Raw genomic sequence first — 19,418 nt, 5'->3', positions numbered from 1 at the left:
GCCTCAGCCTCGTGAGTAGCTGGGATTACAGGCACATGGCACCATGCCAGGCCAATTTTTGTATTTTTAGTAGAAATGGGGTTTCACCATGTTGGCCAGGCTGGTCTTGAAACCTGACCTTGTGATCCATCTGCCTTGGCCTCCCAAAGTGCTGAGATTACAGGTGTGAGCCACCGTGCCAGGCCCTTACATTGTCTGCTTTTAGTGACCTCAGCAGAAAGAACTTCTCCCAGCTTCAGTATTAAAAACATCCAGCAAAGGGGGTGACAGCCTGAGACTTCTACATACCCCTATAGGGCCATATTGGGTAATACAATTGGAAGAGTACTCTGTCAGGTTAAATATTGCTTTGGTTGTATTAACACAGATAAACAATGATAACTTAAAGTAGATATTTATTTCTCTCTCACATAAAAGTCCAAGCTGGTAGGTGGTCTCAGAGGTAGATTGCTTATGTTTCCAATGTGTTCAAGTTGCTTCTGTCTGGGGATTCTGCCATTTCCTATGGTATTGCCCTTGTTGGTATGGTCTCAGATCACTACTATTACATCTGCCTTCTATCCTGCAAGTGGGGAGAAAGGGAGTGAAAGGCAAGTAGCTGCTTTTTAGGGGTATGACATAGAAGTTTTTTTAGGGGTATGACCCGGAAGTTTCACCACTTTGGTTAATACACCATTGTCTAGAACTTAGTCACATGATCACATCTAAATGCAAGGAAAGCTAGAAAATGTAGTCTGTAGTGGAGCGGCTGGCATTCCTAGCTAAAATTGCTGGGGGAAAGGAAGGGAATGTGACTTATATGTATGTATTATTACAAATAGATATGGAGGTAGTGATCTCTGTAATAGATAGTTTTATTAGCAGACTCACCATAATCATGTGATTATTCTTGATTTTATGGGGAAAGACTAGTTCCTAAAGGGAAGAGGGATGGCAGTGCTTTTAATAGAAGATAGGGATGGTGGCATGGCAGACAAAATTGATACTATACCACGGTACCTAAAAATCAACATATCTGAAACAGTATATTCCAGTGTTCCTATTTGTTCTAACTCAGTTAATGACACCGTCATGTGGTCAGCTATTCAAACTAAATGTGGAAATAATTATCCACTCTTCTTATTTCTTTGGTCTCACCTTCTTTATACTTCCTAGATATGACTCCAAACCTACCCTTCCTCCTACCCACCATTATGTCTTGTATTCAGTCCTCCTTCATCTCACTACTGGGATCCTCATCCCACCCATCTCCAGTTTCAATGAACTCTTCCAATATAGCCAGAGTGATGTTATCGGAAGACCAATCTGATTTTGGTACTCCTTTGCTTAAAACAAAACAAAACATCTTTAGTTGCTTACCAGTGTCTACGTGGTAAAACCTAGCAGGTTATAAGATATTCATGTTCTGGCTCCATGATGTGATGAGCTTCTCTAGTATTTCCTAGTGTCCTAGCCCTCTATCCTGCTAAAATATCCACAGTCTCCTCAATGTCATGCTGTTTCATCCCACCTCTGCCTTTGAACTTTCCTATGTTTTCCACTTGGAAAAATATCACTTTTTCTTCAAGACTCAATTCAAAGGAATCTCTTTTCTGAGAATTCCTCTCTGACTCTCCGCTTCTTCTACCTGAGTTTACCATTCTCTCCTTTACCACATCTTGAACTTGTTCATTGAAAATATTTGCTTACTACACAGTCTCCATGATTAGATTGTGAGTCCCTGTGGGAGCTACATCCATCATGTATATCTCTAGAGTCTGACACAGTATCAATCTTTAATAAATATTTACAGAATGAATAAATGAATTAACTGAAAATTTCTTTCATCCATCGGTTCTCTATTATTTACAACCATACAATCATCCCTATCATAACAATGTGAGATGTAAGAAAGTAAAATTTTTTGTTTGCTTCTTTAGTTAATAAGAGTAACAGGAGTCTCTATTCTAGTTTGGGCATACATTTTTGTAAATTCAAACAAAACTTGAGTTTGTTTTATTTCACATGCAGCTAATTTTTCTGTTTCCCTGCTTACTTTTTACTCTTGGTTCTAAAAAGTTCTGGGATCCTCTAATATCAAATGCATTTATGTTGATTTTTTAAAGTTGCTCTGAATTAATGACATTCTTGGGGAATATTTTTGAAATGGTCTGTGGCATACTTAGACATTTTAAAGTGAAGGCTTAGATTCATTGAGTAGGGGAAATAACTTTAAGTTCTAGGTAGTCAGTGCGGGGGAAGAGTGAGTAAATAATTACAATCTATTGGCTAGTATTATATTAAGTGAAGCTCATATTATATCAAGCATAGAATATTATGTGAAAGCATCTATTTTCTAGTAAATTTATTAAAAATAAAAACTTACTGTTTATTTTAAAAACAGTGCATGCTGACCAACGTGGTGAAACCCCATCTCTACTAAATACAGAAAAATCAGATGGGCATGGTGGCACAGGCCTGTAGTCCCAGATACTTGGGAGGCTGAGTCAGGAGAATTGCTTGAACCTGGTAGGCAGAGGTGGCAGTGAACCAAGATCATGTCACTGCACTCCAGCCTGGGCGACAAGAGGGAAACTCCATCTCAAAAACAAAAACAAAAAACAAACAAACAATAAAACAGTGCATGTTGGTCAGAAAGTTCAAAAATACATGTAAATATAAAGAAGAAAATAGATCTATAATCCCACAGATCAGAGATAACTATGACTTTTTAATGTACTTTTTGCAGTGACACACACTATACGCCTATTTGTTTATTGCAAAATGGGATTATGCTGCATCTGTTGTTTTGGACAGTTTTTTTTCCCTGTCATTTAAATAGATTTTCAAAACATTATGTTTAGTTTCTATAGTATTCTCTGAATGATTTATATAATTGGTCTCCTGTGTTGGACTTTTAGGTTGCTTCCTTTTCGTTATAATAAATGCTCCTTAGCTTTAGTACTCCTTAAATATTCCTCACTATAATACATATTTCTGGAGCTGAGTGTGATACCTGTAATCTCAGCGACTGGGAGGCTGATGTGGGAGGATTATTTGATGTCAGGAGTTCAAGACCAGCTTGGACAACATAGCAAGACCCCATCTCAAAAAAAAATTTTGTTTTAAACAGCTAGGTGTGGTGACATGCACCTGTACTGGGGAGGTTGAGATGGGAGGATTGCTGGAACCCAGGAGTTCAAGGCTGCAGTGAGCCATGATCATGCCACTACACTCCAGCCTAGGCACACAGCAAGACCTTGACTTTAAAAAACTAATAATAATAAATAAATATTTCTTTGTTTTTTTTTTTTTTTTAGTTTCCATGTCTTCTTTTTATTTTTATTTTTTTACTTTAAGTTCTGGGACACATGTACCGAACATGCAGGTTTGTCACATAGGTATACATGTGCCAAGAAATAAATATTTATTTACATGTCATTTTGTTTATGGTAGTTTCTTGAAAAAAAAAAAGTAAAATCTATTGATCTTTCTTTAGCATTCTACCTTTGGTGTCATGTTTAGGTAGCATGCAAAGAGTATGTAACTATTTGCCTATGTTTTATTTCCTTTGTGGTTTTTAAACATTAACGGTTATAATCTATCTGAAGTTTATTATGGTATACTGCATGAAGTTTGAGTCTAATTTATAGAATTTTTTTGGATCCTGCAGTTTGTGTCAAGAACTTTGTCAGAAATTGTGGATCATACCACACATCTATTTATGACAAATAGTGCCAAGTTTCTTTTGTCTTTCTTTCTTTCTTTTTTTTTTTTTTTTAATGGAATCTCACTCTGTCACCCAGGCTGGAGTGCAGTGGCTCGATCTTGGCTTACTGCAACCTCCACCTCCCAGGTTCAAGTGATTGTGCTGCCTCAGCCTCCCTAGTAGCTGGGAATACAGGCACATGCCACCATACCCAGCTAATTTTTGTATTTTTACTAGAGACAGGGTTTTACCATATTGACCAGGCTGGTCTCGAACTCCTGGCCTAGGTGATCCACCTGCCTTGGCCTCCCAAAGTGTTGAGATTACAGGTGTGAGCCACTGAGCTTGGGCAGTGCCAAGTTTCATGTAGTAGGTTTAGCAGTACCCAAAAATTATTGGTAGTTAATTGACCAAAATTAGCGAACTAACCAGTAAGTGAATCTGGTTCATTTACTCTGTGTATCAACATACCTCAGCTTTATATGTTTTTTCCTGGTATAACTTACTCAGGAATGTATTACAGACAAATGTTCTGTTTGGAAAGATTCTTTGTTTCATAAATATTAGGTTTGTTATGAAAGTGTACCTAGTACATTGTTGGCTTATAAATGTTAAAATAAATCACCTAAAATTTTACCAATTTTAGAAATACATTTATTTTGGTTTTTCTAGAATCTGTGTTTGTGGATATCCTCGACAACATGTAAGAAAATATAAAGGTATAAGTAGCAGGATACCAGTTTCTTCAGGATTCATGGTGCAAATGTTAACAGGGATTTATTTTGCCTTGTAAGTATCTCATCATATGCGAAATAAACATTTAATTTCTTTGGAAAATTATAGTCTGTTCATCTATTGTCACTATATTATAATGTCAATAGATAAGTGATTTGCATACTTTTTGTGAAATATGAAGATCTTGATAATAGTTTTAATACTTTAAAACTATTATCTTAGTTTAAAACATATCTTTTAAAGTTCTGAAGAATTTCTAACCAACTAAAACACTTCATCATCTTTCTTAAATTCAAGGACGGAATGAAAATCAGTAACACTTAAATATATTCATGGTCCCTTTCTTCATTTTTTTTTTTGCTATAATTTCCAAATAGCTTTTTTTCCTCAAGAAATATATTTTTCCATTGCCAGAAACTTTAGCTCTTAAAAAAATTTCAGAGCCTCTTTGATTAGAAATAGTTTATTATTAGCTTTCTATTAGTTTCTAATATTGGCGCTCAGTCTGTCTTACCTGATGACTTGGGTACTAGTATTTTTCTTTGAACCCTATCTTTTACTTTATAATTCTCTTATTATATGTATCTCATTTACTTTGCATTATATTCACTTGATACTTTTAATTTTCTCTAGTAGAGTATAAACTTTTTGAAGACAGAATTTATAAACTTCTTAAAGGCAGAATTTATGGTCTGTGGGCCCAGTCTGGCCTGATGCCTGTTTTTGTCAAGTTTTTTGCAATACAGTCATGCGTGTTTGTTTATGTATTGTCTATGGCTGCTTTTGTGTTACAATGGCAGAGTTGAATAGGTGAGACTGTACGGCCCACAAGCCTAAAATACTTATTGTCTGGCCCATTAAGAAAAAATTTTCTGACCCTTGTGTTAGACCATTAATATTGTCCCACAGTTCTTGGATGCTCTGATCTACTTTATTTTATCTTTTTTCTTTGTGTTTCAGTTTGAGTAATTTCTGTTAGCTATATCTTCAGCATTTATGGATTTTTTTCCTTGACTAGATCAAGTCTAGAAAGGAGACCACTGAAGGCATTTTTCATCTCTGTTACCGTGTTTTATTTCTAACCATTTCATTAGACTCTTTCTTGTAGTTCCCGTCTCTTTGCTGAAATCTTCATCTGTTCATGCATGTTGTCCGTCTTTTCCACTAGAGCCTTTAGTATATTAGTCATAGTTATTTTAATTTCCCAAATAACTTCAACATTTAGGTCATCTATGAATTTAGTTCCACTGCTTGCTTTATCTCTTGACAGAGTTGGTCTTGTTTGTTTTGCTTTTCATGTGCCTTGTAATTTTTGATTGTTCATGATTTTGTTTAGCAGTAGGACAGTAGAGACTGAGGTAAATATTATTTATGACAGGAAATGGGCATGCCTCTTCTAGGCTGCTAGTGGAATTATTATAGGCAGAAGTGACCTAGGATTGGGTTTTGTTGTTATGGTTACCCTCAGGGCACCATCTACTTCAAATTCCTCTAGTGCTACCTGGTACTTAGGTGGAGAGCTGGATTGCTGGAGGGTTTTTCTTAATACTCCTGCTTCGTCCTCAGCTTTCAGCCTTCTCTGTATGCCTCCACTGCAGATAGGTTTCTTTCCATGTTCTCACCCCTTCCTCCAGCAGTACAGTTCTGTTGCTTGGTTCTGGGTGTGCACTAGCCTGGTGGTGGCTGGGGCGGTGGTGGGGTTGGGTGGGGGGGCATGGAAATGGGGGGAGGTAGTGTTCTCTGTTGTCCTGGTCCAGCCTCAGTTTTAGGCTGATCCCATGTCCCCGCATCTCAGGGATGGGAGTTTCTCAGTAGTCCTGCCCCTTCAGTGATGACCCCCACTACTTATCTCAGCATAGAATGAGAGGTTTTTTGCTTTTTTTTTTTTTTCTTACCCTCAGAGCCGAATTGGTCTTCACTTGTTCGCTGGGGGGTGAAAGGGATTGCTGCTCTTTCCCCAAAGGCTTTAAAATTTTTGTTCTGTGTGATAAAGGCATCTGGCTGGCTCTTTGTACTTTTCTCACAGGAGTGGTTACTCTTTTCCTTCAGGCCTATACCATCAAGGGCAGTTTTCTCTGACCTGCCCTGTTTCTAGTTTTTCTTGTGAGTGCCTAAAGGAGATTTATGGCGAAGAGCCTGTGGTGGATACAGGCTCCCACTTGTATGTGCTTTTAGAGATTCTGTACTCTCCTGCTAGCCCATGAGTTACCTTTTAGCAATTTGGCTTCTAGGAATTTGTTAAGAAAATTAGCTAAATGTTTCTTACCTGCTTGTATTGTGGCCCATCTCTCCTTAGAGGCACCTGTCTCCCTTTAGGGTTCCGGCTATGTGGAAGCCCTTGTTACCTCGGCTCTTTGATGGATTCTTGAGAATTTATAATTTTGTAGATTACCTGGCTTTATCTTGTTTTTATGGTGGGAGCAATGTTCTTGCCAGTTTTTAGGCCTCGCTTGCACTCTTGATGTAATTTATACCTCTTTATTTTGTTGGAAGTTGATCAAGCCACTATATCCCTGTTCATTTTTGTAATTTAGCTGATTTTTAGGAAGGGTTTGGCATATCTTTGAAAATTATGCATACACACACACTCACACATGCACACACACACACATGCACAGACACACACACACATGCACACACACTTTTTCCCTCAAGTTGCTCTGCTATTTGCAACATGTAGCAAATACACTTCTAAGTGATTATCAGAATGCAAAGAAATAACTACTCAGGATACTGCAAGCCACACTGGTAGTAGATTCTCATTAAAAACTGTGGGAGTTACAGAATAATTTGGCCATAAAGTGTTCTGAACATTTTTCTAAGGTATATAATTTATTATTCTCTGATTTGCTTTGAAAGTATAAAATGCTTTGAAATTGCCTTAGCTTTTTTTATTTCTGTTCTATAAATAGTCATGTTCTTTAGAGAAGAAATGTACATCTATAAAATTTTCTTTGCTATTAATAGGCATTTAGATGCAATTGAAAGGAATTCAAAGATTTAAAGATACATTTTTAAGAGGAGTAGAATGTTAAGCAATGTGCTAATATGATCTTTTATTTTCTTCAGTAAAGATAGTTTCTCATTGTATTTTGTTCAGTTATAAATAATTATAATTTCTTCATTTAATTCATCTAATTTTATAGTTATAATGGAGAATGGGATCTAGCTCAAAAAGCACTGGATGATATTATATACAGAGCCCAGCTAGAATTATATCCAGAGCCATTGCTGGTAGGTGCCTGACTTATTTATGTAAATGTTATAATTTAAGATTTCTCAATTTAGAACTATAAATTGAGAGCCATTCATAGTTTATTAATATGTCATTAATACTCAGTGTATTCATGCTCTTGTTATACATGGAAGTTTTATAACTTAGAAAAGTAACAAATAATTTTTTTTTAAATTTTCTTTGAGACGGAGTTTAGCTCTTGTTGCCCAGGCTGGAGTGCAATGGCACGATCTCGGCTCTCCGCAACCTCCGCCTCCTGGGTTCAAGCGATTTTCCTGCCTCGGCCTCCCGAGTAGCTGGGATTACAGGCACGTGCCACCATGCCCAGCTAATTTTTTGTATTTTTAGTAGAGACAGGATTTATTCATGTTGGTCAGGCTGATCTCAAACTCCCGACCTCAGGTGATCAGGCCCCCTCGGCCTCCCAAAGTGCTGGGATTACAGGCGTGAGCCACTGCACCTGGCCAAAATAAAAATTTTTATTAGACTGACTTCCTAGACACCTAACTGTCTTTTTAACTTATGAGAATTGTTCTCCTTAACATACTTTAGCTGCATTTATTAATTAACATTAGGCATTTGGAAATCTAATTGAATATTTTGAAATTTTTAACTTTATCATTTACATATTTTTTTAACCATGAATTTCCCTCTTAGCCTCCTATTCTTATCTTAGAGGATTTCTGTATCATCTTATAAAATGCTTGGGAAGAGCCTCTTTGTATAAGCCTGTTTAGCATCATGTTTTATCGAAGGGTTAGATAATATATCTGCTCTATCTGCTCATGTTGATCTTAAACTATATTTTTTCTCCTTAGGTTGCTAATGCAATAAAGGCTTCATTGCCTCATGGTCCCATGAAATCTAATAAGGAAGGTACAAGGTGTATTCAAGTTGAAATCACACCAACTTCCTCTCGAATATCAAGAAATGCAGTAACCAGCATGTCAATAAGGGGTCATAGGTGGAAAAGACATGGTAAGAAATACGTAACTCTTCAAGTCAAACCATTGTTGATTCTTTTACATTTTTCACTGTACTTATGGTGCTATAACTTCTAACTTCAGTAAATAGTAATCTGGAAGAAAGAGCTGTGGAGTTGCCCTTAACTCCTAATTTATTATCTAGGAGCAATAGGCAGTAAGAAAAATGGAGCCCCTTATGTTACACATATGAATGAAAATGTATTTAAAAATCATATTCAATTTGAAATTGTTACTTCAGTAGGAGAATAAGGAAAATGCATTTTAAAATTACTCATACATTTTGGGCTTGTATTCAAAAGTATTTGCAAATGTTCCTTAATTAATATTTCTGATTTCTCAGTGAACTCTTAAGCAAGTGAATTTACATATTGAAGTAGAACAACTAATAGGGACTTTAAACACTTTGTCTGCACTTTCTGGTAAAGAATGCCATAGTGTTGACGCAACACTAGTTGTATTTTCTTGAAGTTAATTTTCTTTCAAGATTCTGTGTATGTGTGTGTGTATATATATATCCCTTCTTGTCTGCTTCATTTTATTATTTTAAAATTTTATTGGAAGTCATTTTCATTCACTATGGCTTTTTCAGTGCTTTCCCATTTCCCTCCCTTGTCTTTTAATTTATTGTTCTTTATTTAATTTCATATTATTTTTATAACTTCCCTCCTACCTAGAAGTTATTGTAGTGTCAACAACCAGTCTAAGAAGGAAATTATCACCTTCCTCAGAAGGTAACCATGGTGGGAAGCAAAAAGCTACTTCTTTACCCTAAGCAAACGTGTATATTAGAGGTAAAACAAAATCCATTCTCTATTTTCTTCTTCCTGTAAACTGAGGTGAAAATAATAGTTCCTTTTGGTATATTTGGTACTGGTTGTGTTGTGGTTTCTATAGAGAAAATGGGAAAGGAGAAGAATGGAGCTATTTATGGTAAACTAGAAAGTTGGTGATGAGAACAGTTGCCATTGTTTTCACTTAAGGAATCTAGGTGATTGTATGTCAGAAAACAATAATGATTATCCAGCTTACCTAGTGATCATTTTTGGTGTTTTTAAAGTGTAGCAATTCTTGAAAGTTCCATAGGAAAGTATAAAAGAGGCGGTGATGTTTGCCAATAGCAAGGCAAATTATACCACCATTTAAAACATATAGTCTAAACATACTTCAGCTTCTTCAGTGAAAATTATGCTACTGAATGGGGCTAGATTACAGGTAGAAAGTAATTTAATTAGATATGGTTTACCCTGAGGTTGGTTTTTCTGTTTTGGCATTAATGTGTGAGAACAGGCACGGAGGCAATGAAGCAGATCATAGTGGTTACTGTGGCCATAATTGCTTCTAAGCTACTGCTACAGGAAGCACAAGAATGAATTTTAATTTCTTTTCCACTTTCCTTCTTGCTATTTAGGTAGACATATTGGGAATTTGGGAGAGAAATGTAGGTCCTGCAGTTAAAAATGTGAAATATTGATGCTCCCTTGTATTTGTGCATATGTGTGTATATGAGAGAGAGTATGTGTGCATGTCCAGGCGTACATTTAAACAAGGAGGTCTGTACCCTGCAACAAAATGGAAGCCATTTCCCAGACATATTTTATAGGAAAAAAATTACAAAACAAGAGAAAAGACTGCTTGAATGTATTGTTTCTAGCAGATTCTTACATATCTTCCAGATTGTATTTTGGCTGCCACTTGAGGGGTTAGCACTCTGTCTTAGGATTGTACCCTCATTAAAGTAGCATTCTTATCACCTGTACCCCTTCACAATTCTAACACTTGGGAAACTCTGTTTATTATAACAATAAAGTCACAGATGAGAATATAGAAGTGAATGAACTATAAAAAGTAAGTCACATGCATGGAACAGGTACAGAATACAGCTTAGCCTTGTTTATCACTCTTCTTTAGTGTGAATTCCCTTTATCCAGTGGACTCTAAAATACTCTTAAGTCCTTCTTATTTGCCTCTACAGGTAGGTTGCAGTCTCCTCCCTTTTTAGGGTAGTCTTGGCTTTCCCTTCTAGAGCAGTAAAGTTACCATGTTCGGCTGAATTTGAAAGGTTTCTATTTTCCATCCTCATGGTCCTGCTTCCTACTTGAACACATTGTTTTTCTAGGCTCTCTAACAGGCACTGGCTTCCTGTGGGGAAGGTAGACACCTTTGCTGTACTTCTTAGATATATAGACAATTCTCAAATTATAAATAGATTTTTAAATTTAATTTTGTTTATATATAAATTACAAATTTCTCAAATTATAGATTTTTTAATTTAATTGTGTTAATATATAAATTCTATTGTTAATATTTATATATAAATCAAAACAAAATTTGTTTATACATTTCTTTAGAAACAATGTTAAAGGGCTTGTAGATCCCAGGGTGAGCCACAACAGCCTTTTTATCTCATAATGTTTCTGAAACATAGGACTATAGAATGTAAGTTCAGTTTATGGCTGTATGAAAATACATTTAGAGTTTCTATATTTAATGGAACTCTAAATGTGTTTCCCATTCCACCCACTCATATCCCTACTATTCCCTCACCACACCAACCCTCACAGTAGGACAAATTTCTTCCCAAACCCTCAGCTGTATCTATCATACAGTAGAAACAAGGAATATCCCACCTTAAGCCAGTGGTGATGAGGATTGGGAAAGGAGAAGGGACGAGAACCATGAACTTTAAGAAATATTCTTTTTTTCCTCTTTCTCCTTGCCTCTTTGTTTTCCTAGTTTTTGGAAAGAAGAAAGCAATTGGCCCTTTTTTCTTTTTTTCTGTTGGAGCTCTTCTCTTTTTCTTTTACTTATTTGTCTTTATTTATTATTGCATTTCCTCTAATTTCTCCTCTTTCTATCTTTTCTGGGTAGAAGAGGGAAACGAGTGAATGAGGTTTTCTCATGGAAGACGCCAAGTAAAACTTTCCTTTTTGCTTTTTTTTTTTTTTCCATCTCCCTTTACCATAAAAGAATATACGTAATTAAGCCATGTGAATGTACTGGTGTGTTTGCATATCTGAGTCACCAAAAATTATTACACAGCCGACAAATACATTAAATTAGAGCAATTAATGGATATTTATTCTCTTTTATTATCAGTAACAGAAGAATCTTTCAATTTTCTTTACAGCCCAATCTCACATTGTAGTGTTTTTAAAATGAATTTTGAAAAGTTTTAATTGTTTACATTTTAAAATATTTTAAAGCTATCCTAGAATGTATTTTAGGATTCTGTAACGCTTCATAGATCTGCCATTTTTTTCTTAAGGTTAAGAATTATTCACAACATATTTTAATGGAAAGTATTATAATGGAAGTTTAAAAATTACTTTATTCTTAACATTTCTACACATTTCAGAATACGCATCTCTGGCCATGGTTTTGCTGTTGTTATCAATTCAAGTTTCTAGAATTGTATTTTGACCAGTCCTGTTATTTGCTTGGCTCTGTTTTTTATTTTTATTTTTTTAGTAAACTTTATTTTTTAGAGCAGTTTTAGGTTAACAGCCAAATTGAGTGGAAAATAAGAGAGTTCTTAAATACCTCATGACCCCACATTCATAGCCTCCCCCAGTATATCAACATCCCGCACCAGAGTGGTACGTTTGTAAGGACCTATAATTTAAATTTTGACCAGACAGTGCATCCTCATGTCAATTAAATAGGATGATTTTTAAAGAAAGGTTGGTTTTAACTGAGGTATTATTTTGGAGAGATCTGTTTGACAACTAATGGTGTGTTTGCTTGATTTGCCCCACTTTTCAGTTTAAGTTAAACAATTGTATGGACATGGCTTAACTTAATGTGTTTTTCAAATTTTTTAAACTTTGTGTTTAAATCTTTGAGAAAATTCTAATGACTTCATAATTTTATGTCAGTAAATATGTTTGGGAAATAAAATTACAGTGTAGAATTGCTGCTTTCGACTTTTAAGGAACATAATTTCAGAATTAAAAGCTTTATGTGTTGCTTATTCTTTTATGCGTATTGTGTTTAATTTAGTCTATAGATGGCAAATAATTCAAGGCAAAGGTGTATTTTTTCAAACATAGATTTTCAAGTCACCTACAAATTGAGGGCTGTCTAGAAGTCATAATTTGAAAGTAAAACATAGTGGGAGAAAGATAATAATAAAATAAGCTTTAAAAAGCATTCAATAAGTTTAGAGAAGACTGAATAGATTATGACCATAATAAAAGTCAAAATGAAAATTCCAGTAAGAAAAATGAGATAAAATTTAGTAAAATAATTCATTAATTTTTCAAGTTAATCATTAAAATTCAATTTTGCTTAAATATTTATTTCCTTTTAAAAATAAAAAGAAGTTAAAGGAAAATAGAAAGTTATTTCTTTATAATTATGCTTTAATTCTATAGTCATTCTTAAATGTCGTTTCCAAAGATACCTTCATCATCTACCATTTCAGCTATTTTAAAAAGCCCCTTTTCTTAAGTCCCTGAAAAGTTCTCTACCACTCCAGTATTCTAGTATACAATTTATACTTGTTTATTTCCTTGTGTTTTTCCATTCCTTCCTCCTTTTCTAGAGCAAATCTAATTGCTATTTTCTCTCTGTTCACGACAACTACTACTACCATGATTACTCATTCTTCTTCCACTTTTTAAGAAATTATCCATACTTGGAACAATGTAAGAGATTTCCTCCTTTCTTTCAAAATAGTTATTGTAATACTAGTCATTCATTCTATAAAAGTCCCCTAATTAAGTTATAGTTCCAAATAATGAGTGCTTATATTTTTTGCCAACTAATCAAAAGGCTTATCCAGTGGAATCTCGATTTTTTTATTGCTGCCCATCATTCTTCCCACTTGTGCCTTTGTGAGATAATGAGACAAGTAAGTGAAAACATTTGGTATACTTTAAAGCACTACATAAAGGTAGATTATTAATTAAGAACAGTTTTGTTTGTTTTACTAGCTACAAAATAAGTATATTCTTAATAAGTTTTTATTAGCTAGTTTGCTATTCAAGTTGTCCTGTGATTCTTTAGTACTTTCCCAAAACTGTAAGTTTTTGAAACTTGTAATTTGGATTTTCTCAATTTGAGTTAAACTTGTTTAGTTTGAGTATAGCATCAAATGCAAAAATACACGTTATATAATAGTAACAATTACTTTAAAGATTTTTTGTATGTTCTGTGATACTGGAGTATAGTACTCTAACTTTATTATCTAACGTGTATATCACTATTACAGTAAGGATTTTAAAAATGTTGTTATTGTTTCAATCCCAAGTTAATATAAAAATAGAAATTACATAGACAAAATTTATGTTTCTTATTTATGTACAGTTATAACTGTTTGCAACTAGTAGGTATCAATAATAAAAGGAATGTTTATAAACAAGATACTTTCAATGTTTCCCTACTTTTGGTCCTGGCAGATGTTAAATGGTTTATTTTAATAACAGTGCATTTAATTATTTTCAGTTAGGGGATCCAAGAGTACAAAATTTTAAGTAGTAAAAAAGAATTAAAAGTAGCAACTGTATATATTTCTAAGTCTTCTAACTTAATGATGCAAAATAAGTACTGCAAGAATTTTAGAATATTTAATTATATGCAGTGTTTATGTGAACAATCAGACTAAATGAAATTTATGTAGTTGAAATAAAAAGAAAGTACAGTTTCATGTTGTTAAAGCAGTTTTATTGCATTTTTCAGCATTTAAAATAATTGCTTCTCTTTAATGGATGCCATCATATTTAAATAAAGTTAAATGATTATAACAGAGTTCAAAGAGATTTAAAAAAAACAAAAAAGTGATTTGTTTCATAATTTGCTTATTCAGTGGTTTAGTACTAGCTTGTTAGATGAAAAAAGAAAAGAATAAAAGATTGCAATTCATATCGGAAAACATTTAAAACTGGTTATTGATTTAGAAAATTCTAATAAATTTCTGCTGTATAATAACATTGATAAAGCAAGGAAGTACTAATTATTGAACAAATCTGAAAAATTATAATGGGTGTATTTTAGTAAATATTATAAATAATAATTGTTTATAAATATTTTTAAGCATTTAAGGTTGTCTTTCTAGATATTACAAAAGGTAAATGGTAATAAATCTTGAAATGGAACATTTATTTTGTAAATCTGATTTTACAACTATGAGAAAAGTCTTCAGTTGAGGAGAAATAAAGTTGCTAACAGTTAAGAAGCATTTTGAAAAACAAAGAAATGGTAATAATTTTAAACCCCAAAGTAGTAAACTTTACAGAATTGTCTATTGGAATGATTTTTACATCGGCAATTAAAAATTTATAATGTGTATGTTTTTATTTTAAAGGTTGTCTATACTTATTAAGGAAATTTAGAAAATAAAAAATTATCTGGCAGTTTTATTTTAAAAAATGTAAATACTTTTAGTATCATTTTGAGAAGCTCCATTACTTTCAGATTCTAAAATGCTATTTGAGGAACAGATTTTCTTTCCCAATATAGAAGATAAAACATTTGGACAAAAATAAGCATTTCTTTCTTACCAAAAATTTTGTGAATTTTAACTGGCATTTTCAATGTGGAACTTCCATGGAGGACAAAATAAAATATTAGGAAATATTAGATTACTCAAGGAAAAAAGACATATTAACCAAAGAGCTGAAATACATTGATATGTTTGACACATGTGGATATTAAGTTTGAGAGAGGAAAGAAAGACTGTGTACAGAATCCTGACTTAGACAATTTTTGAGGAAAACAAAAAATCTCATTTTATTTCCAGGTAAAATGAAGTTAAAAAATTTTCCAGCCAGAGACAGAATTATTGGTCTCATGAGGCAAAAAAACTTGTTCGTAAATTATTGTATTCTACATTTTTACTAAGGGGGACTTACATAAATCTTGCTGTAGTTAAGAAAGTTATTATTTTTTATTATTGATTATTGAGCACTCCTCCTTTCTCCACCTTTTTATGAGCATTTGCTGCACATTGCACACCAAGGAAGAAATAAGCTTTTACAGGTAGTTTTGTAATAGGTGTTGCTGACCTGTTTTTGGTCTGTGCTACGTGGTCATGAGGATCTGTAATAATCATAAAGGATTCACCTGGTCCTGCAGCGGCCGTATGTTGCAATTCTCTATTGGATTTTATTTAAAACTTGAGACTTAATAAAGATGACAAAAGGAGTTACTGAGAGTAATTGAATCCACCTCAATAAGGAGAATTCTGTCATTTACCATGTATACAACTAAAGCTAAAGATCTGACTGTTTATCTCTTATGGAAACTGCTGATAGCTCCTAACTGGTGTGTCTATACAAATTGTCTTGTTCCAGACTGTTTTTCTGTATGCCCCAGGCTGCTCTTTTCTTACCTAGAAAGACTACTTACTGCTTCAGAGCTCAGATTTTGACATCTTAGTCTTTGTTTTTGCCCTTGCTCAGAGTGCAGCCCTTTAACTGCAGGGTCCCATCCTGTGTTTCTGTGATAGCTTTGTTTTCCTCTAATCTGCCTTGTAAATACTGGCCCAGGTTAAGCATTGCCACAGTGCTATTCTTTATGACTTGGGACACAGTTTATGCTCAGTATCTTGTGTTACGCGAATGTGACTTCTATTGATAAAAAAGGCTAGTAAAGTATGAAAGATATGCAAATAGTTTTTTCATGTAGCTGTCACTGGCCATCCACTGTAATCACAATAAAATCCAGACTTCGTGCTATGGCATATGTGATCCTGGTGATATGACCTCTTGACTACTGCTTTGACCTCACTTTAAGACCACTCTCACCCTGGTTCATTAGACTCCTTCATTCTAACACTTCAACGTACTAAGCCATTCTGCCTTAGGGGCATTGTCTAGTTATTTGGAGTATTTGAGCTGAAATTTGAATAGTGAAAGGTATGTTGACTTCCCTTACTCCAGATTGTTGTGTGGCTAGCAGTTTTTCATCATTCAAACCTCAGCTTAAACATCTCTTCTTCAAAGAGGTTTTCCCAGACCACCCATCTAAGTACTTTTATCCCCTATTACCCTACTTCCTCTTTCCCATCTTATTTTTTTATTGCATTTTCTGCTATTTAAATTATCTTGTTTACTTGGTTCCGATATTACAGTGTGAGCTCTGTTCCCTTATTATATAGTGAGGGAAGAATCTATCTTTTTGGCTGTTGTATCCCCAGCATCTAAATCAATGTCTGACATATTATAGGTGCTCAACAAATTTCAGTTGAATGCATGAATAAGTGAGTGAATGATAAAGAAATGTATAACATAGGGTGAGCAAGTTGTTCTTTCTTTTCTTGTTTTGTTGAAGAACAGTATAACAACATGATAGTAAACTAGATTAGGGGATATTTACTTATAATTCCAGTATTTAAAGAATTTTCATTTAGTTTTTTCTATGCATGTATGTTTTCATGGTTGTACTCTATTTAAACTTTTTTGGTATTTTGTTTTTGTTTAGTTAATATTGTCAGACATTTTCCCTAGTTCTCCTAGTAAATACAGTTATTTTAATGGCTACATGATATCACATTGAGTTAATATTCCATCATTTGCTTAATCATTCTTCTAATATGTTAAGAAATTTGTTTCTGAGTTTTGCTATTATAAATAACACTGTAAGGAATAGCTTAATGAATACAGATAACATTTTTCTCCATTGAACAGAATATATTATAAACATAAAATGACTATATTAAAGGATATTTGTTCTGGTATGGCATTTAAAATATCTACATCTCATAAATTGTAAAAGAATGTGTATGACTTTGTTTTGGGGTTTATTCTAAGTTAAAGTATTTTTCATAATTCATGTAAAAAATTGTATGATGCAGACAAATAATAAATTATATTTTTAAAGCTTCAGCTTATTATTTTCACAAATAAGTTTGTAAGCACCCCATGTCAGAGCCAGATGCCTTTAGACTCAAAGTAATCTGAGTACAGAGATGTATAAATTCTATGAATAAATAAATTATTCTTTTATTAAAATTCTCACCTTTAGTAAATATGGCAGCCATAAAACAAATAAAAGCAAAAGCTAAGGTGGTTTTGTAAGTGACATAATAAAATAGATATTTGGGATTATAAAATGACATTTGAGAGAAATCACAACTTTTCGTCATCAGTTTTAATAATATTTGCAATTTGCTTCACTTTTTTTCTTAAAGCTGGAAGAAATTTTTTTGGGCAAAATTATTTGAGTACCTTTGAGAACTAATTTGGAAATGTCTATTAAAAGTATTCTTTAACTTTCATTTCTACATGTGGAGAGTTTACCTATTTGTGCATATAGGGGGTTACACAAATAAAATATATCCTGAGAAGTTTCTTTTTGGATCTTTTTTGAGCTTTTTGAATTATTTGAAGTCAAGTACTTGTTTTTTGTTTTTTTTTTAAGGTGTGGATTAATCATGACTCCATTTGCATAGATTGTTAAGTTCTGGGAAAAACAAAATCTATTTTATTATGCATTTATATTCCCTTACAGCATCTTCTATATAATTTTCTTAAAGAAAGGATTAAGTTCTACTCTTTAGCTATATATGCCATCCTCTGGATAACATAATAAAAAAATAGATTTTAAAAATGATCTTTTTGACCTAAGCATCTTGCTAAACCTACATTTAGAGACGGCTCCTTCACTTTTCCAAAACAAAGAGGCTTTGCTTTTCTTTGCCATGTAAAAATTCTTATTAGCATAAGCTATATGTATTTCATTTATCCAGTCAAGTAACACATTCACAGCTTACCCTTCTCATGTCTTCTGTATGTTTTCTCACTTTTATTTATTCTAATAATTTAATCTCATAACAGAATATTCACTCAATTCATCAAAAAAAGATGTATTGAGTGTCTACTATATACAAGCTACTTTTCCAGGTACTAGATACATAGTAGTGACTAGATGAAAATTTTAAAAACTCCTTCCTCATGGAACTTAGGTCTAGGAAACAAGATAAATAAATAATTGTAGGTTAGAGAGTGTTAAGTGCTAAGAAGAAGAAAAAAGGAAGAGGGTATGTGAAACGTGGGGGCTATTAAAACTTTGGATGGGTTGACCAAGGGAGACTTCACTGTAAAGGAAATTTTTGAAAAAGATGTGAAGTAAGGAAATGAGCCATTCAGCCACCAGGAGAAGACAGCAGCCAGGACAGCAGTAAGACAGTGTGGGTGGGAATGTCGGGTCACAGAGTTATATAGGGAAAGAAGTTGGAGAGCTGATAGAGAGCAAGATTAGGTAACAAATGTTTGTTTGGATTACTTAATTATCTTTCTTTATTCTGTAGTTTTCCTGAGAATTATGTTTCTGTTCTTTCTAGCTCTGTACAGAATTACTTGCTCTTCTTATAAATTTAATAAGCAGTTTAAAAAATCTGCCATTGTTAACCATTTTTGAGTGATAACAAGTATCAATTAATTAGGTAAAGACTTATGCTTGTGGGAAAACACATGATCTTATTTTTCTACTTGCCATTTAATTCCATGATTTTTTTAAATGTAATATCATTACTTCTTGGGCTGCAGACCTTTATTCTGATAAAAGTGATTACATTTCAGTTGCGTGGTACTGCTTTATGTAATATTCTCCCTGTCATTTTCTAGTTTTTCTTGCAAAATCCTGAATTTCTGCCATTGAAGCACCACTTTAGATTAACAGCTTTCATTGGCATCTCTTAAAAAATTGACCCAATTAAAAAAATACACAGACCTAAACTCAAGAATTATTACTTTCCTAGGATTTCTTCCAGACTTTTATTTTCTCCGGCTCTCCATTCAAAGTAAATTGTTTGCTTTTTGTAAAATGGCCAGGA

General features: G+C 33.6%; 1 protein-coding gene across 5 annotated transcripts in view; it reads left to right on the top strand.

Annotated features, from left to right (window-relative positions):
* HYCC1 (hyccin PI4KA lipid kinase complex subunit 1) overlaps positions 1 to 19,418 on the top strand; it is a 118,288-nt gene that overhangs the window by 45,239 nt on the left and 53,631 nt on the right. For all 5 annotated transcript variants that reach the window (XM_011515590.3, NM_032581.4, NM_001363467.2 and 2 more), the window contains exons 8-10: positions 4,361 to 4,477; positions 7,570 to 7,657; positions 8,477 to 8,636. In XM_011515590.3, coding sequence (XP_011513892.1) covers positions 4,361 to 4,477; positions 7,570 to 7,657; positions 8,477 to 8,636 — 365 coding nt within the window. The remainder of the gene's footprint in view (positions 1 to 4,360; positions 4,478 to 7,569; positions 7,658 to 8,476; positions 8,637 to 19,418) is intronic.

This window comes from Homo sapiens, chromosome 7, assembly GCF_000001405.40.
Source record: "Homo sapiens chromosome 7, GRCh38.p14 Primary Assembly".
NCBI lineage: Eukaryota > Metazoa > Chordata > Mammalia > Primates > Hominidae > Homo > Homo sapiens.
This window is presented reverse-complemented; position numbering and strand designations above follow the sequence as displayed.